At 36.2% G+C, this 22,291-nt stretch overlaps 1 protein-coding gene and 1 long non-coding RNA gene across 12 annotated transcripts in view, besides 2 other annotated features; one reads left to right on the plus strand and one right to left on the minus strand.

The window, feature by feature from the left end:
• DLGAP1 (DLG associated protein 1) overlaps positions 1-22,291 on the minus strand; it is a 959,276-nt gene that overhangs the window by 683,593 nt on the left and 253,392 nt on the right. The gene's annotated exons all lie outside the window — the stretch shown is intronic.
• LOC124904239 (uncharacterized) lies at positions 1,536-14,345 on the plus strand. Its single transcript, XR_007066271.1, has 2 exons — positions 1,536-1,992; positions 2,533-14,345. It is a non-coding gene; the product is annotated as an uncharacterized LOC124904239 (long non-coding RNA).
• Positions 2,605-2,899: an enhancer, noted in NCBI's record as "tiled region #11006; HepG2 Activating DNase matched - State 8:EnhW". NCBI's record gives its function as "activates a minimal TATA promoter and a strong SV40 promoter by Sharpr-MPRA in HepG2 cells {active_cell/tissue: HepG2}" and the evidence as "EXISTENCE:reporter gene assay evidence [ECO:0000049][PMID:27701403]".
• Positions 16,121-16,622: an enhancer, noted in NCBI's record as "NANOG hESC enhancer chr18:4195745-4196246 (GRCh37/hg19 assembly coordinates)". NCBI's record gives its function as "activates a minimal SCP1, AML or CMV promoter by ChIP-STARR-seq in primed H9 embryonic stem cells {active_cell/tissue: H9 hESC(primed)}" and the evidence as "EXISTENCE:reporter gene assay evidence [ECO:0000049][PMID:30033119]".

Raw genomic sequence — 22,291 nt, forward strand, 5'->3', positions numbered from 1 at the left:
TATCCTAGACTCTCACATTTAGGCCCAAATTGTAGCCTCTTAAAGCCTCACACATATCCTATGTGCTTTAGTGTCTCAATAAGTTTATTTGTAATAAAATGAAAAGAAAGCTCTTTCTTCTATTTTAAGTACATGAATCCTAGAATCAAAACTTCTGGCAACTTGAAATCTTCTCCCAGTAACCTCACTCAACACTTATCGAGCCATTAAATCTCGGCTGCGTCCCTTGGGGAAGGCACTTTACCTCTCTGATCTTCAGTGTCTGTATTTTTCAAATTGGGCATAATGGCATGAACTTTATCAGTTGTTTTGGGGTGAGTGAAAGTCATTTATATTGCCCTGGATACATGGTAGTCCTTATAAATAAGTCTTCTATTCTGAGCTAAGGAATTTGGACTTTACTGACAGGCAATGGAAATCCTCAAATAACACAGCAACATGGATCTCCCTCGTGATCTCCCTCTCTTCACAATCATGCGTGCATCAAAGATGAATTTTCTTTGAACACAACTTACACTTTTCATAATACGACTCTCTCCCTTTGTAGTTGAAAGGGCTTATCAGGTTTCCTACTTCACACAGAATGAAACAGAGGTGTTCTTGTTTGGATTGTTCCCCAGCACTCCTGACACTAGTGTTTGGCTTCAGTTACACTCATCCAGCAGAGTCCCACAAAGGAGGGTGACTAACTCATCTGGGTTTGTCTGGGACTTTACTACTTTTACTCAGTCCCAAACAAAATGGGAGAGGTGGCCAGTCACCCCAAAGACATTACACTTTCCCAAAATTCCACACATTTGACATTGCCCTTTGTGTTGCTCTATCAGGAACTGCACATCTTGCAAGGCTTAATTTAGAGCCAATACCATCATCACCTGGGGTAACTGGAGCAGGTGGCACCGATGGGAGAATTATTATTGAGTTTAATAAACTGGGATCTGATGTTGAAGGTTTTTAAAAAGTAGTTTGAAATAAATATTAAATACAAAAAGTTTCAATACTAGTACAAAGAATATGCATACAACTTTCACCCAGGCTCACCTAGTATTAACATTTCACCACTTTGCTCTATCATTTGTGTTCCGTTTCTCACACACATATAATATTCTTTAGATGGGGAAGGTTTACAAAATTTTATCATATGCTCAGAGGTAGGGAAAATCACTTCTAACCAGGAGGAAGTAATGGAGAAACTGGCTTTCAGTAAAGATTTGCTGGGAAGTCAAATGTTCAGAGCTCTGCTTGTGGAAGATGACAACTACAAGGGTGTCCAGTGAAGTCTAGAAAGAAGGCCAGGCTGGAGACAGAGGGATCAGTCAGGAAGCTGCTCAGAGGTCCAGGCACCAAGGACTTCTACTAATGGACAGAGATACTGATGGGTTTGAGCAAAAATAAAATAATATTCTTTTAGTGCCCAAGTTAGATAAGAGTGTCTCACATTTTCTTGACTATTTGACCTAACTTAGTAAGGTGATTTACGTCTAGGATTTTTCACATCTCTTTTATAAAATAGAGTCCTTTGATCACATCCATCTTCTCATCTTGGTTGTTTATAAATGAAATGTTAAAATGAAAGATTATGGGAAGAATTAGACTCCTGTTATTTCATGTGATGAACTCATTTCTTGGCAGAGTTACACTGGATGAGTTAAGATGTAACTGAAAATATGCTTCCCTCCTGAAACTTGGAATCTTGCTTTTAATTATCATTGAAATGTCACCAGAGATACATTTAAACAGTTTTTGATAAGACATGGACTAACAAACCGAATCCAACTGCTACAGGGACATTTTTTAATTTCACAGGTGGTTGAAATATATACTGCGGCAGTATAAAGGAGAAAATGCAGCAGGAGCTACCCGTGATAGGAGTCAATACCTCTGTGAACAAGGAGAAGCACTACTATCTTGGTTGAAAACACTCTTATTCGTAACAAAACCGAAAGCTCCTGTGTCTGATCTTTTAATAGACTTTCAAGGACACATTTTCAAGTAAGTACCACTATATCTGGACGACAATCAACCTTTAATTTCTTTCCTTTATTGTTCCTTTAAGTGTCTTTGGATTTCTTCTTTTTTTTTTAAAGTGTCTGGTATTTTGACATTCTCACTTCTCACATGGGCTGTATTTATGTATGGTACTCATCAACAAACACATCTACAGCTTTCGGTAGATAATGTTTTGTTTGCTCCAAAAAAAGAAATTAGGGGAGCCCTTACTGAGAAAGTAATAGCAGTACTACTAATAAATATGGGAGCTGTTTTCTTCCATTAGAAGAAACACCAGTAGCAACATATGTATTCCAATCTGTAGCACTAAGTGCACTCAATTAAAGAGAAGATGATAGCGATTTGCAGATCCCCCTGCTCCAGCCTATTTTTCAGTTGGCATGGTGGGGACTGGCTAGGGAGACCATACCCATCTTTCCAAAGCAGGAGTCGGGAAAGACTTGCTGGTAGCTTGAAGCTAGCCGTGGAAAAAGTGCATGCACTGCAGAAACTGGCAAATATTACCAACCTTTTTTCTGACAGCAGGTATGGGAAACCAGAATACGCTACACCCAAATGTGCCTCTTTGGCAGAAGTCTGATTGGGCTGAAGGAATTAAGAACAAGCAGAAGCAGGAAGGCTCTTTGCCCTCTCTCTATTTGCCTAAAATTGGGATGTAAATTTACAAAGACAAAAGCTATTTCACCTCCCCTCTCTGAAAGAACAAAGGTTAACCACTGAAGAGAGTTTTTCACCCTTACGGGCCGGAAGATGGCACCAGAGGAAACTACGTTAGCAAGCTTTGCAAACCAGCCTTTCTCTGCCAGTTATTTTCCTTCCCCCACCTTGTGGCCCCTAGAGATACAAAGTCTTTTTATTTTTTATTTTTTTTGTCTTGTCACTTCTCTAAGCATTGACTGTTCTTTGTAGAAGATCCCACATAAGTTGGAATTCAAGCCACCTCTTTGAAAATTACTCATTCCCTAGGTATCTTCCATGCGTGTATTAAATAAACATATTAATAAACTTCTGTTTGTTTTTCTCTTTTTAAAGTGTCTTTTGCTATGGGGTCCATTCCAACTTAAAACTTATCAGGGTTGAGATAATAATTATTCTTCTTCCCCTACACTGGTTATTAAATGTTGCCACCACACTAGCACCTACAAAGGATAGTTGGGTTTTAGAAATGCTGGACCATGGACAGGTAGAATCAAGTGAAATAATAATGTGCTGCCCTTAATGAAGCTGTTGTCTGTCAATAGTTGATAACACCGAATTCACTTCATAAGGGTAGAGAGGAAGAAAACAATGTTTGCAGGAGATTGTGAACAAGGAAGGAACACATTTCAGATAAGGGTAATCATAGCTGGGCTCCTTAAAATGGCAATTATAAACATGTCCCTATTATTTCAAAGGTAGGCCAATGACTGATGGTTACAGAAACATGAGCTACCAAAACAGACCATCAGAAACCAAAAGAAAAAATATGTGAACAAAACAGCTTTTTAGGAAGAAAATACATTAAATCAAATTCTTGGCATTTTGAATATGCAAGAAAATTAAATATACAAGTCATACTGAAAACTGTCAGTCCTTTTTGTGCATAGCTTGATGACTACCAGGCAAACCATTTTCCCTAATTGAGATTTAAGAAAAATAGACGAGTTTAACTCTAGTGCAAAATAAAATGACTTAACTGACAATGTGAGAGGCTAACTGAAGAAATAAGAAATATTTAGAAAGAAGAGAGATATACCAGGATTTCATAGATTACATGAGAAGAAGCAGACTAAAGGGAACATTTCATTGTATATTATTTCTCTCTATATATGTCTATCAAAAGTAGGCATTTCAAAAAATCAAAAAATTATTTGAAGGTACAAGCCACTTTATTGACAAAATTACCTTTTGCACTATAATTTAACTTTCTTAAACTTTTGACCTTGTTTCTTGACCTTTGTACATTTTCCTTTTCTTTTTTAAATTATGTGGCTCCTTTGAGTCATCCATTTCCTCTTTCCTCTGGAAAGGGAAGAGTCATGGATTCCAACCTTTCTGCTAGAAGCTACGAAGAATTAATTGCCATGTAGGTTTCCTTGGAAGACGTCAGATAATCTTTACCTGGGTTTCATGCACAATCATTTCTTTAACAAGACTGAGCATTAGTCATACCTATAAATTAATTCTCCCTCTTGGTCTAAAACTAACATCTGAAAATACTGTACTTTTCCTTCACATCAAATATGGCCTAAGTAGCCTTTTCATTTTATTTTTCCAGAAAGCTTTCCCAGTAAAAAGACAGACCCGAGGGTATTTTCTCATCTTGTTGCAGAGAGTGATGGTACAGAATGTGCATAATGCCCACGCAGGAAAGTTAATAATATTCTACAAGCAGTCTATTTTTAGATTAATAGAGCCAGTTTACGCAAAGCAAATCTGTACTGCAGAAAGAAGAGCGTTAAATATTTGAAAAAATTCTGGATAAACTTTAAGAAAAAAGGAAACATTTTCTTTTCCTACATTGGGTCTAACATAATTAAATGAATTCAAAGGCTTAGCCACTTTTGCAAAGGCTTAATTGCTTGTATTGATCGTGACCTAAATTTGCTTCTGCACAGTTTATAGAGCTACATTTGGCACTGGAACCAAAACCCCTTGGGACGAAAAGCCATAGCCATCCTGACATTACCAAATGGTAGAATAATTATTTACATTTATTAACATGGAGATAAAGATCATTTTGTTGGTTGACCAGATAACTAGGTCTTTCCTGGCTAATGCTGCATTAAAATACATAGTCTCAACAGTCAAGAATTCTCCTAGTGGGCTTTGGTAGACCATAATTTTAGTTAACTCAGAGAAGAAAAATCCCTCAGTGTAAACACTGGGTCATTATTTTAAATCTATTCAATAAATCGGTATCGTACATAACCCTCACAGACATGCCGATTTCGTTCAATGGTATTTCTAATCACCGATAAGCCTATATAGAGAGTAAACACACTACCCAGGATCCTACTACTTGGATAAAAAGCCAACATCACCCTGCCTTTCCTTCTTTTAAGATAAAAGGGAAATCAATGAGTTTTTATTTTTATTTTTTAGGAGTGCAATCTACTTATTTTGCCATACTAAACTAAAGTTCTGGGATCCCCTGATACTTGTGCAAGTTACCGCATACACATCTCTGATGGATGAAGGAATGTTTCTTCCATTCTAAGCACCCTGCAAAAGCCATTTATATTCTGAGGCCTGAACTATATGCACCTAGTGTCCTGCACTGTCACTCAGAGATTCTTTCTCTTCTTCCAACTACTCCCTGACTCCTTTGATGTTCTATGAACACTTTAATACGTTAGAGATCACTTAATGCAGTTGATTTTAATGATCTGCACACATCCCTGTCTTCCCACTAGACTGGATACTTTCCTAGTTATCTTTTCCTCATTCATCTTTTTATTCCCAGGGCCCTCGACAGTGTCTGTTAAATACTATTTACCTTAATATTTAGTAAATTTGCAAAAGGTGTGAGTGAATGCTCCTTTTTTCTAATATTTTATTTTTAAAATTAGCTTTAATATTAAATACAATAAGACAAGAATAAAATTTGGTTTCTATTTTAAACAAGATTTTCATGAAGTATTTGAGGTTTTTTTTTTTTAACTTTTATTTCAGGTTCAGGGGTCCACGTGCAGGTTTCTTACGTAGGTAAACTTGCGTCATGGGGGTTTGTTGTACAGATTATTTCACCACCCAGGTACCCAATAGTTATTGTTTCTGATCCTCTCTCTCCTCCAACCCTCGACTCCCAAGTAGGCCCCAGTGTCTTTCATTCGCCTCTGTATTTATCCATGTGTTTTCATCGTTTAGCTCCCACTTATAAGTGAGAACATGAGGTATTTCATTTTCTGATCCTGTGTTAGTTTGCTAATGGCCTTTGGCTCCATCCATGTTCCTGTAAAGGACTTGATTTCTTTCTTTTTTATAGCTGCATAGTATTCCATGGTGTACATGTACCACATTTTGGACATTTGATGGACATTTAGGTTGATTTCATTTAGGTTGAATGCCATTGAGGGACATTTAGGTTGATTTCATGTCTTTGCAATTGTGAATAGTGCTGCAATGAACGTTTGCATGCGTGGGTCTTTATGGTAGAACGATTTGTATTCCATTGGGTATACACTAGCAATGGGATTGCTGGAACAAATGGTAGTTCTGTTTTTAGCTCTTTAAGGAATCATCACACTGCTTTTCACAATGATTGAACTAGTTTACACTCCCAGCAACAGTGTATTAGCATTCCCTTTTCTCTGCAACCTCGCCAGCATTTGTTTTTTGACTTTTTAATAATAGCCATTCTGACCAGTGTGAGATAGTATCTCTTTATGGTTTTGATTTGCATTTCTTTAATGATCAGTGATATTGAGTTTTTTTCATCTGCTTATTGGCCTCATGTATGTCCTCTTTTGAAAAGTGTCTGTTCCTGTCACTTGCCCACTTTTTAATGGTGGTGTTTTTTCTTGTAAATTTGTTTAAGTTCCGTATAGATGCTGGATTTTAGACCTTTTTCGGATGCATAGTTTCCAAATATTTTCTCCCATTCTGTAGGTTGTCTGTTTACTCTTTTGACAGTTTCTTTTGCAGTGCAGAAGCTGTTAAGTTTAATTAGATCTCATTTGTCAACTTCTGCTTTTGTTGAGATTGCTTTTAGCATCTTTGTCATCAATCTCTGCTAGTTCCTATATCCAGAATGGTATTGCTAGGTTGTCTTCCATGGTTTTTATAGTTTTGGCTTTTACATTTAAGTCTTTAACCTGTCTTTCATTGATTTTTGTACATGGTGTGAGGAAGGGGTCAATATTCAATCTTCTGCATATGGCTAACCAGTTATCCCAACGCCATTTGTTAAATAAGTAATCTTTTCCCCATTGTTTGTTTTTATCATCTTTGTCAAAGATCAGATGGTTATAGATGTGTGGTCTTATTTCTGGGCTGTCTATTCTATTCCATTGGTCTATGTGTCTTTTTTTGTACCAGTACCATACTGTTTTGGTTACTGTAGCCCTGTGTACCATTTGAAGTCAGGTAATGTGATGCGTCCAGCTTTGTTCTTTTTGCTTAGGATTGCCTTGGCTACTCAGGGTCTTTTTTGGTCAACATGGATTTTAAAATAGTTTCTGTGAAGAATGTCATTGGTAGTTTAATAGGAATAGTATTGAATCTGTAAATTGCTTTGGTCAGTATGGCCATTTTAATGATATTGATTCTTCCTATCCACAAGCATGGGATGTTTTTCCATTTGTTTGTGTCTTCTGATTTCTTTCACCAGTGTCTTGTATTTCTCATTGTATCACTCACACCTCGCTGATTAGCTAGGTATTGTCTTTCTTTGGTGGCAATTGTAAATGAGATTGTGTTCCTGATTTGGCTCTTGGCTTGACTGTTGTTGGTATATAAAATGTTAGTGATTTTTGTACGTTGATTTTGCATCCTGAAATTTTGCTGAAATTGTTTATCAGCTTAAAGAGCTTTTGGGTCAAAAGTATGAAGTTTTCTACATATAGAACCATTTCATCGGCAAACAGAGATAGTTTGGCTTCTTCTCTTCCTATCTGGATGCCCTTTATTTCTCTTGTCTGATTGTTCTGGCCAGGACTTCCAATACTATGTTGAATAGGAGTGGTGAGACAGAGCATCCTTGTCTTGTGCCAGTTTTCAAGAAGAATGTTTCCAGCTTTTGCCCAGTGAACGCTCCTTTAAACGTTCCAAGATATTGATCCCCCAAAATTTGTATTTAAAGTGTTAATTTTCTCTTTGAAGTGTCTTAATATTTTATACATAGATTTTAAGTACTGAAATATTAAGAACTAAAACATTTTCTACAGAAACTTGCCTTTTCAATTCTTAGTACATTAATATTGTGTGTATAAATGCAAATTTATAAATTCAGTTAGATGAAAAGCAGAGTATGATTAGTATCATCCATTTTCTGTATTGTTGCTGTGAGATCTGGGCTATTTCTATGCAAAGTTATCTTATTGAAAATTTGACTAAAGAAAGTAATGTGGGTTGTTAAATAATATTTTAAATTAAATTGTCAGCTGGGCGTGGTGGCTCATGCCTGTAATCTCAGCAATTTGGGAGGCTGAGGTAGGTGGATCGCCTGAGGTCAGGAGTTTGAGATCAGCCTGGTCAAATGGTGAAACTCTGTCTCTATTAAAAATACAAAAATTAGCCAGGTGTGGTGGTGTGCACCTGTAATCCCAGCTATTTGGAAGTCTGAGGCACGAGAATTACTTGAACCCTGGGAGGCAGAGGTTGCAATGAGCAGAGATCGTGCCACTGCACTCCAGCCTAGGAGACAGAGTGAGACCCTGTCTCAAAACAAAAACAAAAACAAAACAAACCCATTAAATTGTCAATTTAATTTTATTGTTTTAAGAAAAAATTCTATAACAAATTTAAATCAAAAGGACATTGGCATCTGATTATCTTTCCCTCCTTGTTTTTGGTGATAAAATTTCAAAAATTTATGTTACCAATTTTTGTATTTCCGTGCTCTAATTGGTTTCATCTTAAAACTCTGTCATTACTTTTCTTTTATCTCTATTTATTTGATAATTCAGTCGTTCTAGAATCCACTCATTTATTCAATTTCAAATATTTACTGAAAATATGTTAGGCAATATTATTTTTTAAAATTTATTTTAAGTTCCGGGATACATGTGCAGAATGTGCAGGTTTGTTATATAGGTATACGTTGTGCCATGGTGGCTTGCTGCACCTATCAACCCGTCATCTTAAGCCTTGCATGCATTAGGTATTTGTCCTAATCCTCTCCCTCCCCTTGCCCCTCACACCCCGACAAGGCCCAGTGTGTGTTGTTTCCCTCTCTGTGTCTATGTGTTCTCATTGTTCAACTTCCACTTATGAGTGAGAACATGTAGTGTTTGGTTTTCTGTTCCTGTGTTAGCTTGCTGAGGGTGATGGTTTCCAGCTTCATCCATGTCCCCGCAAAGGACACGAACTCATTCTTTCTTAAGGCTGCATAGTATTCCATGGTGTAGGTGCGCCACATTTCCTTTATCCAGCCAGTCATTGACGGGCATTTGGATTGGTTCCAAGTCTTTGCCATTGTAGATAGTGCTGCAATAAACATACGTGTGCATGTGTCTTTATAGTAGAATGGTTTACTCATTCATATAAGCTATTTCATATTCTCTTTGCAACATGCAAAGCGTCACATAAAGTCATTGACAGATTAAATTAAATCAAATAAATTTACCCAGAAGACCTTTTACTCACTGGATTTCTTTACTGGAGATATTTTTGAATGATGTTGTCATCAATGTTTTATTATTTTGTATTTAATCATATTCAAAGTTCATCTGTCTCACTGTAAAAACTCTTAAAAATGATAATTACTTTTTTATGTTCTTTTCTGATTTGTACGATAATGAATGCTGTAAACATCTAAGAATACCATCAGAAATAAGAATTTCAATTTTGATGAACATCATCTCCATAAAATGAATGCTTTATAACTAGGGCCTGCTTGTTACCAATGAGTATGTATTATACATATAAAGATAATGGAATAATATTTTTTCTTGGTAATTTCCAATTGTTGTTGATGTGATTTTTATTTTTATTTCATTAGGTCCTTCCCAGATGTTGCAACTTTTTATTTTCTTTCTGTTTTGATTACTGGAGACTATTATATAAGAACAGTTGTAGCTTAAAAGTATAAGTCTTAATAAAACTATATCATATTTGGGTTTAGAAATTTTAACTTGCACAACCAACAGGTCATCTAAGAAGTGAGCATTGAAACTACAAAGCTCTGATGAGAAAAATCAAAGAAGGTCTAAATAAACTGAAGACATATTAAGAGGGACTCAACATTCTTAAGATGCCAGTTTCCCCAGCTCAATCAACAGATTCAATGCAATCCCAATCAAAATCCTAGAAAATTACTATACAGATATAAACAACCAATTCCTAAGTTTATATGGAAAGACAAAAGAACCAGAACGGTCAACAAAATATTAAAGAAGAAGGAAGTCAGAGGACTGACACTATCCGACTAAAAACGTACTGTGAAACTACAATGATTAAGACAGTACAGTATTCATGAATGAATACACAATACATCAATAGAACAGAATAGAGAGCCCAGAAACTTACCCACACAAATACAATCAACTGATTTTTGACAAGGAAGCAAAGGCAATTCAATGGAGAAAAGATAGACTGGACCTCCACATGGAAAAAATGAATCTAGACACAGACCTTAGAAGCAACAGGCGCTCCCATACATTGTTGATGGGAATATAAAATGGTACAGTCACTTTAGAAGACAGCCTAGCAGTTTTATGCAAACCTTATCAAAGGCTTGTGATAACATACAGCAATCATACTCCTAGGTATTTACTCAAGTGAGTTACAAGCTTATGTCCACACAAAAACCTGCACACGAAAGCTACAAGCAACCAAGATATCCTTTAATAGATGAAGGAATAAACAAACTGTGATATATTCATGCAAGGAGATATTATTCAGTAATGTGAAAAAAAGAGCTATCAAGCTACTAAAAGACATGGAGGAAGTTGAAATACATATTATGAAGTGGAAGAAGGAAGTCTTAATAAGCTACATGGTATATAATTTCAACTATATGATGTTCTGGAAAAGGCAAAACTATAGATACAATGAATTGATCAGTGGTTGCCAGGGGTTCAGAAGGTTCAGGGGAAAGGATAAATGGTTGAAGTACAAGAAAACTTTAGAGCATTGAAACTTTGAAACTATTCTGTATGATAATACGATGGTAGATGCATGACATTATACACTCGTCAAAATCCACAGGGTATAGAACACAAAGAGAACTCTAATGTAACTATGAACTTTAGTGAATATTTATGTATTAATATTAGCTCATCAATTGTAACAAACGTACCTTACTAATGCAAGATACTAATAATGGGAGAAATTGTGTGCAGAAAGGAAGGGATTATATGGGAACTTTGTACTTTCTATACAACTTTTCTGTAAATCTAAAACTTCTCTAAAAACAAAGTCTATTTTTAAAAGTATATAGTTTTGCTTGCTTAACCCGTTATGATTTTCCAATGAGTTCTTGTGTCTAGGTTTGGAGCTATGAATAAATGGCAGTCAGTTTTCTGTCCACATAAGTTCCAAGGACTATAATATAGTTTTTTTCTCTTTAAAATACAAGTAAAGTTTTAAATATTTTTCCAGAAATACAACTCAGTTACTCTTCAAGTTTGAAAAGTTATTTTCATTTTGAAATATTTCCAAGTATAATAATCTTATGTGAAATACATTAAATAAGAAACTCATGGCTTAAAGGAGTCTTTTCATTAATCCCTTAATTTAGAAAGAGAAAGTATCTAGAAAGACTTCACTTCACATAAACCCTCTTACCAAAAGTTGCAAAAATTTTTTTCATTCATGGACGTATACCTGAAATTGATTTTTTTCCTTTAAACAATCATTTTGCTACATCTAGCACATCAAGATATGTTTGCCATAACGACAGATGAAAATGACATTTTTCTCTTCAGGTTTACATTGATTTTGTTTCTACACATTTCACAACTGCATCATGAATTTTTTGATTACTCTATAAGTATAAGCATATTTCTAAATGTTCCTTTAACCTAGTAATTCATACCAAAGACTTCTTTATATACATTTTCCTTTACATAGAGCCTAAATACTAAATGATGAAAACCACAGATATGCTATTAATTAGAAGTCTGCCAGTCCTCTATAGTACTTCCATAAGATTTAATTATAACTCAAAAATATATCTACTCTTTCCATTCGCAATACATTATCCAAGCTGTGACTATCTCTTTCATGGGCAACTGTAATTCCCTCCTAACTGTTCTGTTTTCATTTTTTCTCCTTTCTAGTCCATTCTCTCCAGAGTGGCCATAGTGATCTCACCTAAGCACAATCTGATCCATCACATTTGTGTCAAAATCCTCCGAAGGCTCTAAGCATACAGTTTACTCTTTTCTCCCCTCCTCTGTGGCTAATTGTCCCCCATTCTTCAGGATTCAGCTTCAATGTAACTCCTTAGGGAGGCACATTCTAAGCCTCTGTAGTGTAGGTCAGGACACCTCTTGCAGTCTCAGGATGCGGTGCATCCTCTAGAGCACTTGTCCAACTGCAATGACTCAGTGATTTGTGTAATTACACATTTGCTGTTCATTTCTTCTAATGGAATGAGAGTTCCATGGGTGCACACAATGTATATCTGTCCTCCAAACCTACCACAGGGCCCACCACATATATGCCCAATAATTATTTCTTAAATAACTAAACTAACACCAAGAGAACCCTGAAGCAACACTAGGACTCATAGTAAAGATATGACAAAGGGGAAGGTGTATTCAAATTTAGATAATATAATTAACATAATGAAGAAATGACTTCATCAATATAGTTGGTGTGGCACATCCTTTTTCTCCTGATCATAAAAAACGCCCTTATTTATAACATTTCTCAAGGGTAAGGGAGGAGAGTCCTATTTCTCATGATACCTCTCCTTTTATCCTCAGAAAAGCATTTAAATAAAAAACACAAAACCATTGTCTGAATTTCTGTTCTGCTTTAAAGTGCCTGATGAGCCAGTTGAGTAAAAGAAAGTAGAATGGCTTATGATAGAACAATGATGGCTTGTCAATGCACACCTTTCAAAGAAAGAATGAGACTATCATAAGCATGTCATTTGATAACGACTGCAACTCATCCTTCCTCCCCAAGCAGCCAGCACTTAGAAATAGTAATACAATAAATTTAATTTAACCCTAAAAGCAAAGCTATTATTGGAACGTACTTATCCTGTAACCCCAACTAACTTGAAGTTCCCCTCTACCCTGCTCCGAAAGGTATGCCGCCAAACACAATTTTATCAGCCTTTGTAAATGTAACCTCTTTTGATCTTTCCTATTTCTATGACAGTATAACAATATTATGTGCCCCTGAGAGGGATTAACATTAAAGTCAAGAAGAAGCAGCCAAGTGAAGATCTAGAGGAAGCAAATTCCAGGCAAATAAAAGAATAAATGTTCCCTAAGGTAGGGCAATGGAACCAAATGAGGCCAATGTGGATCTGCAGACTAGAGGTGAGGTTAGAGCTGTAAGGAGATGCCAAATCATGAGCTTTGTAGGCTCGGGGGGAATTTAGGATATGTTCTGGATACAGGGTTGACAGAAGTTGTTCACGTTGGAAGAGAGGCAAAGACAGGAATTACCTTCTCATTGAAGAAAGGTACTGATAATCCAAATTCCAGAAAAAGACATCTTAATCCACTTAATCTTGAAGGGTATTGCAAAACTACATAATATAGTAGATTTTCATACCTTTCTTTATGGACATTCACTTTAAGTTTCTAATGTTTGTCATTTGCGCAGGCTACTGCCTGCATTGATGAGTCAGCCACTGAATAGAACTAGAATTCAGTGTTATCAAGTGCATTGGTATAGTCCATGAGATTTGTTAAGGACTCAAATGCTAGGACAATAAGTCTTCTCAGGAGCATGCTGCAGAGAAGAGACTCAGCTGGACGTGGGCCTGGCCTGGATTTCAGTACTGATACACGGCCAGCTCTGGCTAGAATTCATATTTGATCTCATTTTTTATATGTTTACCTTATATATTCCAAATTTTGCATAGATTATTGAAACTAGGTCAAAAGTAAAATCATCAGTTAATAATTTATGACACTTCTGCAATTTGTCCCATCCAAATAGAACGGCCTAGAGAAACTCTGTGGCTGTATGAAAGTTGAGCCAACATCACAACTCTGTGAAACTGCCCAAAAACAACAGCTTTGGGGGAAAAAAACAGTCAAATGCTAGGCTGCCACCAATTTCCATCCTGGAATCTACAAAAAGACTCATTTAACAATATAAAATGAAACAATTTTGTAGTTTTTGGTTAGAAAAGACTTGATTACAGAAACAAGCATATCTTGTAGAATTTTATAAATGGATACATTTTTTATGGTATTTGGAGAAAAATATGACTTCTGTTAGTGTTTTATAAATATTGGCTAAAAATGAAATAATGAACTTGAGAAGGGAAATCCAGAGAAAGCTAAAAGCTAGAGTTTTGCATATTCTCTTCTATACTGGCACTTTGCTTTTTCTGTTTTGAATATATTTTCAATGCCCCAGTGAACTTGGTAACACTGCCAACAATAAAAAAAATTGTAAAGGACTTAGATCTTTAATATAACGTGAAAATCTGGAAATTAAACAGAATAACAGAGATGAAGAAATTAATTTTCAGATTTTTTAAAAAGATTTTTGCTGGCCCCTATTTTTCTATTATAATTTCAAAATTTTTTTTCAAATTGGTGGCTACATGTGCAGGTTTGTTACTCATCCTGTAACCCCAACTGTTATATGTATATTGCCTGATGCTGAGGTTTGGGGTACAATTAATCCTCTCACCCAGGTACTGAGCATAGTAGCCAACAGTTGGTTTTTCAACTTTGCCCCATTCCCTTCCGCACCAGTAGACCACAGGGACTACTGTCGTCACCTTTATGCCCATGAGTACCCAATGTTTAGCTTCCACTTATAACTGAAAGCACGCAGTATTTGGGTTTCTGTTCCTGCGTTAATTTCTTTAGGATAATGTTGGCCTCATTTTCCTAAGATTAAAGCTGAAATTTTGAAATATCTCTTGGTATTGGTGAAAAATACTGAGATAAAAAGATTAAGATACACATTTATTGTCCAATCATTAAATCATTAGCTTTATTACAGATAAAATATTATATCGAATTGGATTAGTAAATTTAAGGCCAAACCAATTTTGAAATTGTTCAGAACTTACATCAATAAAGGCTTCCCATTAACAATTTTATATGTATAACTCTACATATGTGTGAGAGTGTACGTATTTTTTTCAAAACATAGCCTAGTGTTTTTATTTAATATTTCCTAGACTTATAAATTATTTTCAGCTAACATCTATTTAGCCATGAAAATACAATAACTACATAGTTATTTTGAATTATAATTCTGGCTTATTTAACACAATTCAAAGTTATATACCAGTTTTGAAATTTTAAGATACCTTCTATCATTTAATAGAGTCTATAGGTGTATTTCACTTTTTAAAATAAATATTTTTGAGTAACAAATCATAACTGTATACATTTATGGGACACAAAGTCACGGTTTTGATATATGTATACAACGTGGAATGATTAAATCAAGCCATTTAACACAGACCTCACCTCCCTCACCTATCATTTGTGTGTGCGTGGTGAGATGTTTGAAATTTATTCTTTTACTTTGAAATATACAATACATTATTGTTGACTATGGTCACCCTGATGTGAAATAGATCTAAAAACTTTTTCCTCCTGTCTACCTGAAACTTTGTAACTTACAAATATCATTTGAAGAAAAAAAACCCAAATACCAAAATATTTGAAATTGCCATCACTAATGATTACTGTTTTAAATATTTGGAGTGTAGTTTAGAATACTACAGTTTTATCTACATGAACTCTAGAAAATTTTGTCTCTGTGCACTTGAAGCCATCCAGATTAAGCCATTCCCATTCAAGATTCATGAGACACAGTACAATATATGAGACTTTGAACTTTTTTTTTTAACTTCGTGAGCAACTATGCTTGGATAAACAAGCCATTTGAGGAAACAATACGCATCTTTCACAACTACTAAGCCTACGAATAGGCATAAGTGGAGTAAGCTCCAGCTGCAGTAGGGACTTTGTTGTCTGGTTCTAGTCAGCCCCAATTGTCTTGCTCTAAAAATGATAAAAGATGCGAAATTTGCATGCTACTCAAAAGGACTGGTTTTAAAATTGCCATTCAACTATCGGGTGTTATTGTTTTTCACAGATGACTACTTTTTATCTATTTATTTTTTTTTTGAGATGGAGTTTCGCTCTTGTTGCCCAGGCTGGAGTGCAATGGCACGATCTCAGCTCACAGCAACCTCTGCCTCCCGGGTTCAAGAGAATCTCCTGCCTCAGCCTCCTGAGTAGCTGGGATTACAGACATGCACCACCACACCTGGCTAATTTTTTGTATTTTTAGTAGAGACAGTGTTTGTCCATGTTGGTCAGGCTGGTCTCGAAATCCCAATGTCAGGTGACTCACCCACCTTGGCCTCCCAAAGTGCTGGGATTACAGGCATGAGCCATCGCGCCCGGCCTGACTACTTTTTTGAGGAAGACCCTATTCTGCACAACAGAGGACATGTTTGAAGAGGGAGTTTACAGATAAACCTTAGGAATAAGAAAAACAGGGCACAGATAATCCAGTCTGCTGTGTCTTTGTTATTGTAATCATCAGTTGGTTAGCTGGTTCTCATGCCTGTGGGTGCTAAGAAGGGTGAGATCAAAGAAAATCCACATGGGACTGGTGCTCCTTCATCCAGTGCTTCATTCAATACTTATCAATCATGCACCAAACACTGCTGAGCATCAAAAGTCCATCTAGGCACTGGGTTGTCATTGTGAAAGGGACAGGCAGGGTGTCTACTCTTACGGACATTACAGTAAAGGAGACATAGGAGAGCTCACTAAAGTATAAATTGCTACACACTGAAAACAGGCCATGGAGAAACGGTAGGTAAGAGAACATAAGGGTGGAAACTGACCTTGCCTGAGTACAGGCAATGCTTCCATGAACACTATGTTTAGGAAATGAAATGAAAGTTCTCTGCTTCCAACTTCAAAAAACAAAAGCAAAAATGCTGATTGCCATGTGGGTGTTATTTGCAAAGTTTCACACAGTATTCATGTATTATTCATTTATAAAAACACTGCTTACTACATGAGCAGTGCCTACTCAACACTTTTGGCAGTGTGAATGCGACAGACGTCCACTTCCAACACGCTTACTGATTAGCTGGACAGAAAGATTTATTACTCTGTACACAGCAGGATGTGCTGAGAACTGATAGAGGAGCAAAGAAAGCCAGAAACAGCACAAGAGACATGTGAGGACACTCCCAGTGACAAAGCTACTTTGTGCGGTGCATAGATTCTGTTGCCATTCTTTCTTTTAAGTAACCTTATTTCTGGCTTTGTTATGTGTATACATTTATTTCATTTTTCTCACTTCTATCTCATTTAATTACAGAGTGTTGTATATGTACACATTTTTGTGACACATCTTAAAACTTTTCACAAAGAGAAGCACAATTAAATAAATATTAAAAGAAAATTAGAAAAATAAAAATAAAAGAGGCTGGGTGGAGTGGCTCACGCCTATAATCCCAGCACTTTGGGAGGCCGAGGTGGGTGGATCACCAGAGGTCAGGAGTTTGAGACCAGCCTGGCCAATGTGGTGAAACCCCACCTCTATTTAAAATACAAAAATCAGTTCAGTGTGGTGGTGGGCGCCTGTAATTCCAGCTACTTGGGAGGCTGAGGCAGGAGAATTGCTTGAACCTGGGAGGCAGAGGTTGCAGTGAGCTGAGATCGTGCCATTGCACTCCAGCCTGGGGACAGGAGCGAAACTCTGTCTCAAATTTAAAAAAAAGTAAAAAAAAAAAAAAAAAAAAGAAAAAAAAAGAAAGAGGCAGCAACCCTTCCAGAGAAAGGCTTCCCAAATGAGAACTATTCAAATATAGAAAAAAGTACAGAGATAGGAAATATAAAGAATCTGATCGAGAAGAAGGCATGTTGGTAAACTGGAGTACAATGCCCTGGGGTGGGTAGTATATAGGGCATAAATTTAGCAAAAATTGGTTGATTTCAAAATACAGAGCATCTAGAATGGTAGACAAAAGAGTTTAGATGTGAGTGTCTGGCAGTGTTAGGGGAGTGACGATCAAGTCTGTATTGGAGGAAGATAACAATGGTGGCATTGTGAAGTGGCAGAGCATGACCAGATTGATAGGATTTGACAAGGGGGACAAGAGAGAAGACAAATTTAAAGAAGTTCCAAATGCTTCTAGCCTGGACTACTGAGAAGACAGTAATGTTTTAATGGGATACAAAAGAGAGTAGGGACAGGTATGGAGCGGGATGATGGGTGCCACTCCAGACAAGCTGCCCACAGAATATCTAGGCTGGAATTTCCAAAAGAGGTTAGGATGCAAACCTTTAGGAATCATTTATCTGCAGGTGTCAGCTAAAACCCCGTGAATGTTAGAGATGAAGTAGGGAGAAATTATTGAATGAGAAGAGTGGGCATCCAGCACTTATTTCCCAGGGCCCTCATAGTTGCCACAATACCATACATGGGAAGCTGAAAAGTTTTGTGGAAAAAGATGTTTAAACCTATTCTTGTGGCCAGGCGCGGTGGCTCACGCCTGTAATCCCAGCACTTTGGGAGGCTGAGGCGGGCGGATCACGAGATCAGGAGATCAAGACCATCCTGGCTAACCCAGTGAAACCCCGTCTCTACTAAAAAAATACAAAAAATCAGCCGGGGCGTGGTGGTGGGCGCCTGTACTCCCAGCTACTCTGGAGGCTGAGGCAGAATGGCGTGAATCCAGAAGGTGGAGTTTGCAGTGAGCCGAGATCGTGCCACTGCACTCCAGCCTGGGCGACAGAGTGAGACTCTGTCTCAAAAAATAAATAAATAAATAAATGAAATAAATAATAACAATAATAAAAACACCTATCATTGGATTTCTAAGAGATGGTCATGGCCTATTTGAGATTTATCTCCCATCTGTGGAAGAAGCCAGAACCCAAGAGGATCTCAAATAAGGGTTTTGTCAATGAAAGCAATGAGCTCTGTCCCCAAAGGCCATGATAACTTGTGTTTCTTTTTCTTCATTTAGGTACTGTAATGGGTCCACGAAACAATTAATAGATATTATTGAGAACATATTTGAATAATGCACATTTAACGCATCAGACAGTTGTCACCCTTTCTAATCCTTTAAAAATAGTTTAGGATGGTCATCGATAATATTATGGAAACTTTTTAATCTCGAAAATGAAACCCATATATTTGATAGGATGAATGAGTTGGCAAGAATGTCAGTAAATTGCAGTTTTCAAAATTTTATCTTTAACATCATTTAATCTGCCAGAAATTTAACAAGAATAAGGATAAGAGATTGGCCTCAAGGTACAATTCATCTTTCTCCTCATATTCCTTGTAGGTGCATATCAAATGATGTATTACATTCTGCAGTTTTTGGAGAATATATTTAAAATTAATTAAGGTAGAGTCACTATAATCCTTTTAACAATGTCATTCTTATTAACTTGCATTGCAGTGGGAGGCAAATGCCACAACCTCTGTGGCTCAAAAGAAAAGCAGGCATCGTAGTGAGAGGTGTGCATTGTAGTGGGTGGAGGGCCAGCAAGAGGCTGCTCTGCTGCAAGTGCTCATCAGTCAAAATGGAGCTGCAGCTGGAACCTTGTGTGGTTTTACAAGAAGGAGCCCTACCCCTCACCTACTCTACTTTTTATTGGCAATGAATAATGAGAGGAGCATTTGCAAGTGTGAAATTGGAAAAGAGCGGAACATCAGCCTGAGGCTGTGTGCAAGCTGCTCGGGGAGCCAGCAGAGAAGCACTGCTGATCCTGCCTGGACCTTCTGTCCTGGAGGAGGGTGGGCCTCCCACTCATGCTGGTTGTAAACATCTCTGTCTTCTTGCTTGCCTTCAGACATCTTCTCCAGCGTGGCGTAAAGAAAGAGTGATTGCAAGCATATTATATCAACGTTTTCATTAATTTTAGTATGCCTTTAAAAACATTTCAACACTATGAAGAATACTTATAATCAACAACATGTCATCGTTTAATTGGAAACATTTTTGTATTCTGACTCATTGGTACATAGTGTGTATTTTACCATGGATGTCAGATTTGGTGAATTAAGATAACTGTGAATAATCCTGGTCATGCCAATGAGAGGTTGTCATCCATGTTAATATCTTCTGGCATATGTGAACTGGGGAAACTGTTCTCCCATTTACCCACTGCCTTAATATAACAGCCACATCTACAGGGAGACTCTGACTTCTGGATCCGCCTTTAGAAATTAAGCATTTTTGGAAAACTATGTGATGGGGAAATTACTTTAATGGGTTAGCTTTAGGACCATGGAAGAGATAAGAAGAATGCAAGGTGTTTTGCTTAATTCTTAGAGGCAGTTTTCCTTCCTGAAAATGTTGGCATTCTTGATGTTATAAAAAGAATGTAAGGGTCTCCTTATGGTTGAAAACAATTCCCCCAAGAGCTTTACAGAAAATTGAGCAGCATAGTGATAGTTTGGCTCCCCAGATAAATAACTGTGTCCTTCAAAATGTCCTACATTTCAATGTATTTTTCACTGTCAAAATTATGAAATCATGGTCTCATCATCCAAATAGAACTCTTAGTATTATGGATGTATTTCCTTCCAGTCTGTTTCATAGCCATATTTTACATTGTTATTGTATGTATACACAGTTTTTTATCTTGTGTCTAGTCTGCTACAATTGGATTCCAAGTATTTTCTGAGTAGTATTCAGTATTCGTATGTTTGTATAATATTTCCTCCTCAATATTTCTAATGTAATTTGGAGATATTTGTAAAGATGTTTTTGAAATTTTTATTAGGATTTTAACAAATCTGTCAAATTATACAGAATTAAAATATCTATACTATGTACCACTCTTTCAGAAATATGCCCTCATAATTTCAGTTATTCACATAGATTCTTTGTAAGTCTTACTAAAATGATTACCAGATTTTTATATACTTTTGCCACCATAAATAAAATTATTTTCTATTTTATTTTCTAAAAGAATGTTCACAAAATTACAATTGCTTATTTATAATATTCTACCTTGTCAAGTTACCAACATCTTATTAATTACAATTTAGTTGATCCCTTTTGATTTATAAGATATGTAACATCACTCACAAAGAAGGACATATTTTGCTGTTCCTAATATTTATACCTAATATTTAGAGGAATAAATATTAAATATTTAATACTTTAAAATATTAAAAAAAATATTGTGAAAATATTAAAATTTTTTACTACAATGGCCAGAACTTTCAAAACAATGTTAAATAATTAGGGTGATACTAAGCACCATTATCATACATTTATTTTAAGACAAATGCCACCAATACTTCACAGTTGAATTATAATTGACTAAATTTAGTATATGCTAAAACTAGGGCAATTCTTGTCCTTAATTTCTACATGTAAATATTTGGTCACAATCCTTATAGTGATGTTACATCTTGTAAACTACATTTCCGTTTATCTGACATAAAGGATTTATTTCAGAGGTGGGAAATATAGGGATCTTGTAGGCCTTCGACAAATTATCAGAGTAACTTCAGTTTTATTTCCACAACTTCACAACATTGTAATGAGAATCTGCTCTGCTCAACTCCTCCACTAGACTTTAGGTAAAATTTGATTAGATTCTAGATATTAGTCCCTTGTCAGATGTATGCTTTGCAAATACCTTCTTCCATTCTATAGGTTGTCTTTCTGTTGACGACTTTTTTTTGTTGTTCAGAAGCTTTTTAGTTTAGTTCAGTCCCGTTTATTTATTCTTGCTTTTGAGGCATTTGCTTTTGGGATTTACTCACAAATTCTTTGCCTAGGCCAATGTCCAGAAGAGTTTTTCCTCCAGAAGTTTTTATGATTTTAGGTCTTTAATCCATCTTCAGTTAGTTTTGTATATGTTGAGAAATAGGGATGCAGTTTTATTCTTCCACATGTGGCTATCCAATTTTTCCAGCACCGTTTATTGAATAGGGGGTCCTTTCCCCAATGTATGATTTTTTCAGCTTTGTTGAAGATCAGTTGGTTGTAGGTATTTGGCTTTATTTCTGGGTTCTCTATTCTGTTCCATTGGTCTGTGTGTCTATTTTTGTACCTGCACCACACTGTTTTGGTAACTATATCCTTGTAATATAATTTGAAGTTGGGTAATGGGATACCTCCAACTTTGTTCTTTTTGCTTAGGATTGCTTTGGCTACTTGGGCTTTCAAACAAATCACCAAGAAAAAAAACAAAGAATACCATTAAAAACTATGGAAAAGATGTGAACAGACATTTCTCAAAAGAAGATTATACAAATGGCCAAAAAACATATGAAAACATGCTCAACATCACTAACCATCAGGAAAATCCAAATTAAAGTCACAATGAGATACCACTTTACCCCAGTCAAAATGGCCATTATTAAAAAGTCAAAAACCAATAGATGTTGGCATGGATGCAATGAAAAGCGAACAGTTATATACTATTAGGGGAATGTAAATTAGTACAACCTCTAAGGAAAACAGTATAAA

The sequence above is a fragment of the Homo sapiens genome, chromosome 18, assembly GCF_000001405.40.
Source record: "Homo sapiens chromosome 18, GRCh38.p14 Primary Assembly".
In the NCBI taxonomy this organism is placed as follows: Eukaryota; Metazoa; Chordata; class Mammalia; order Primates; family Hominidae; genus Homo; species Homo sapiens.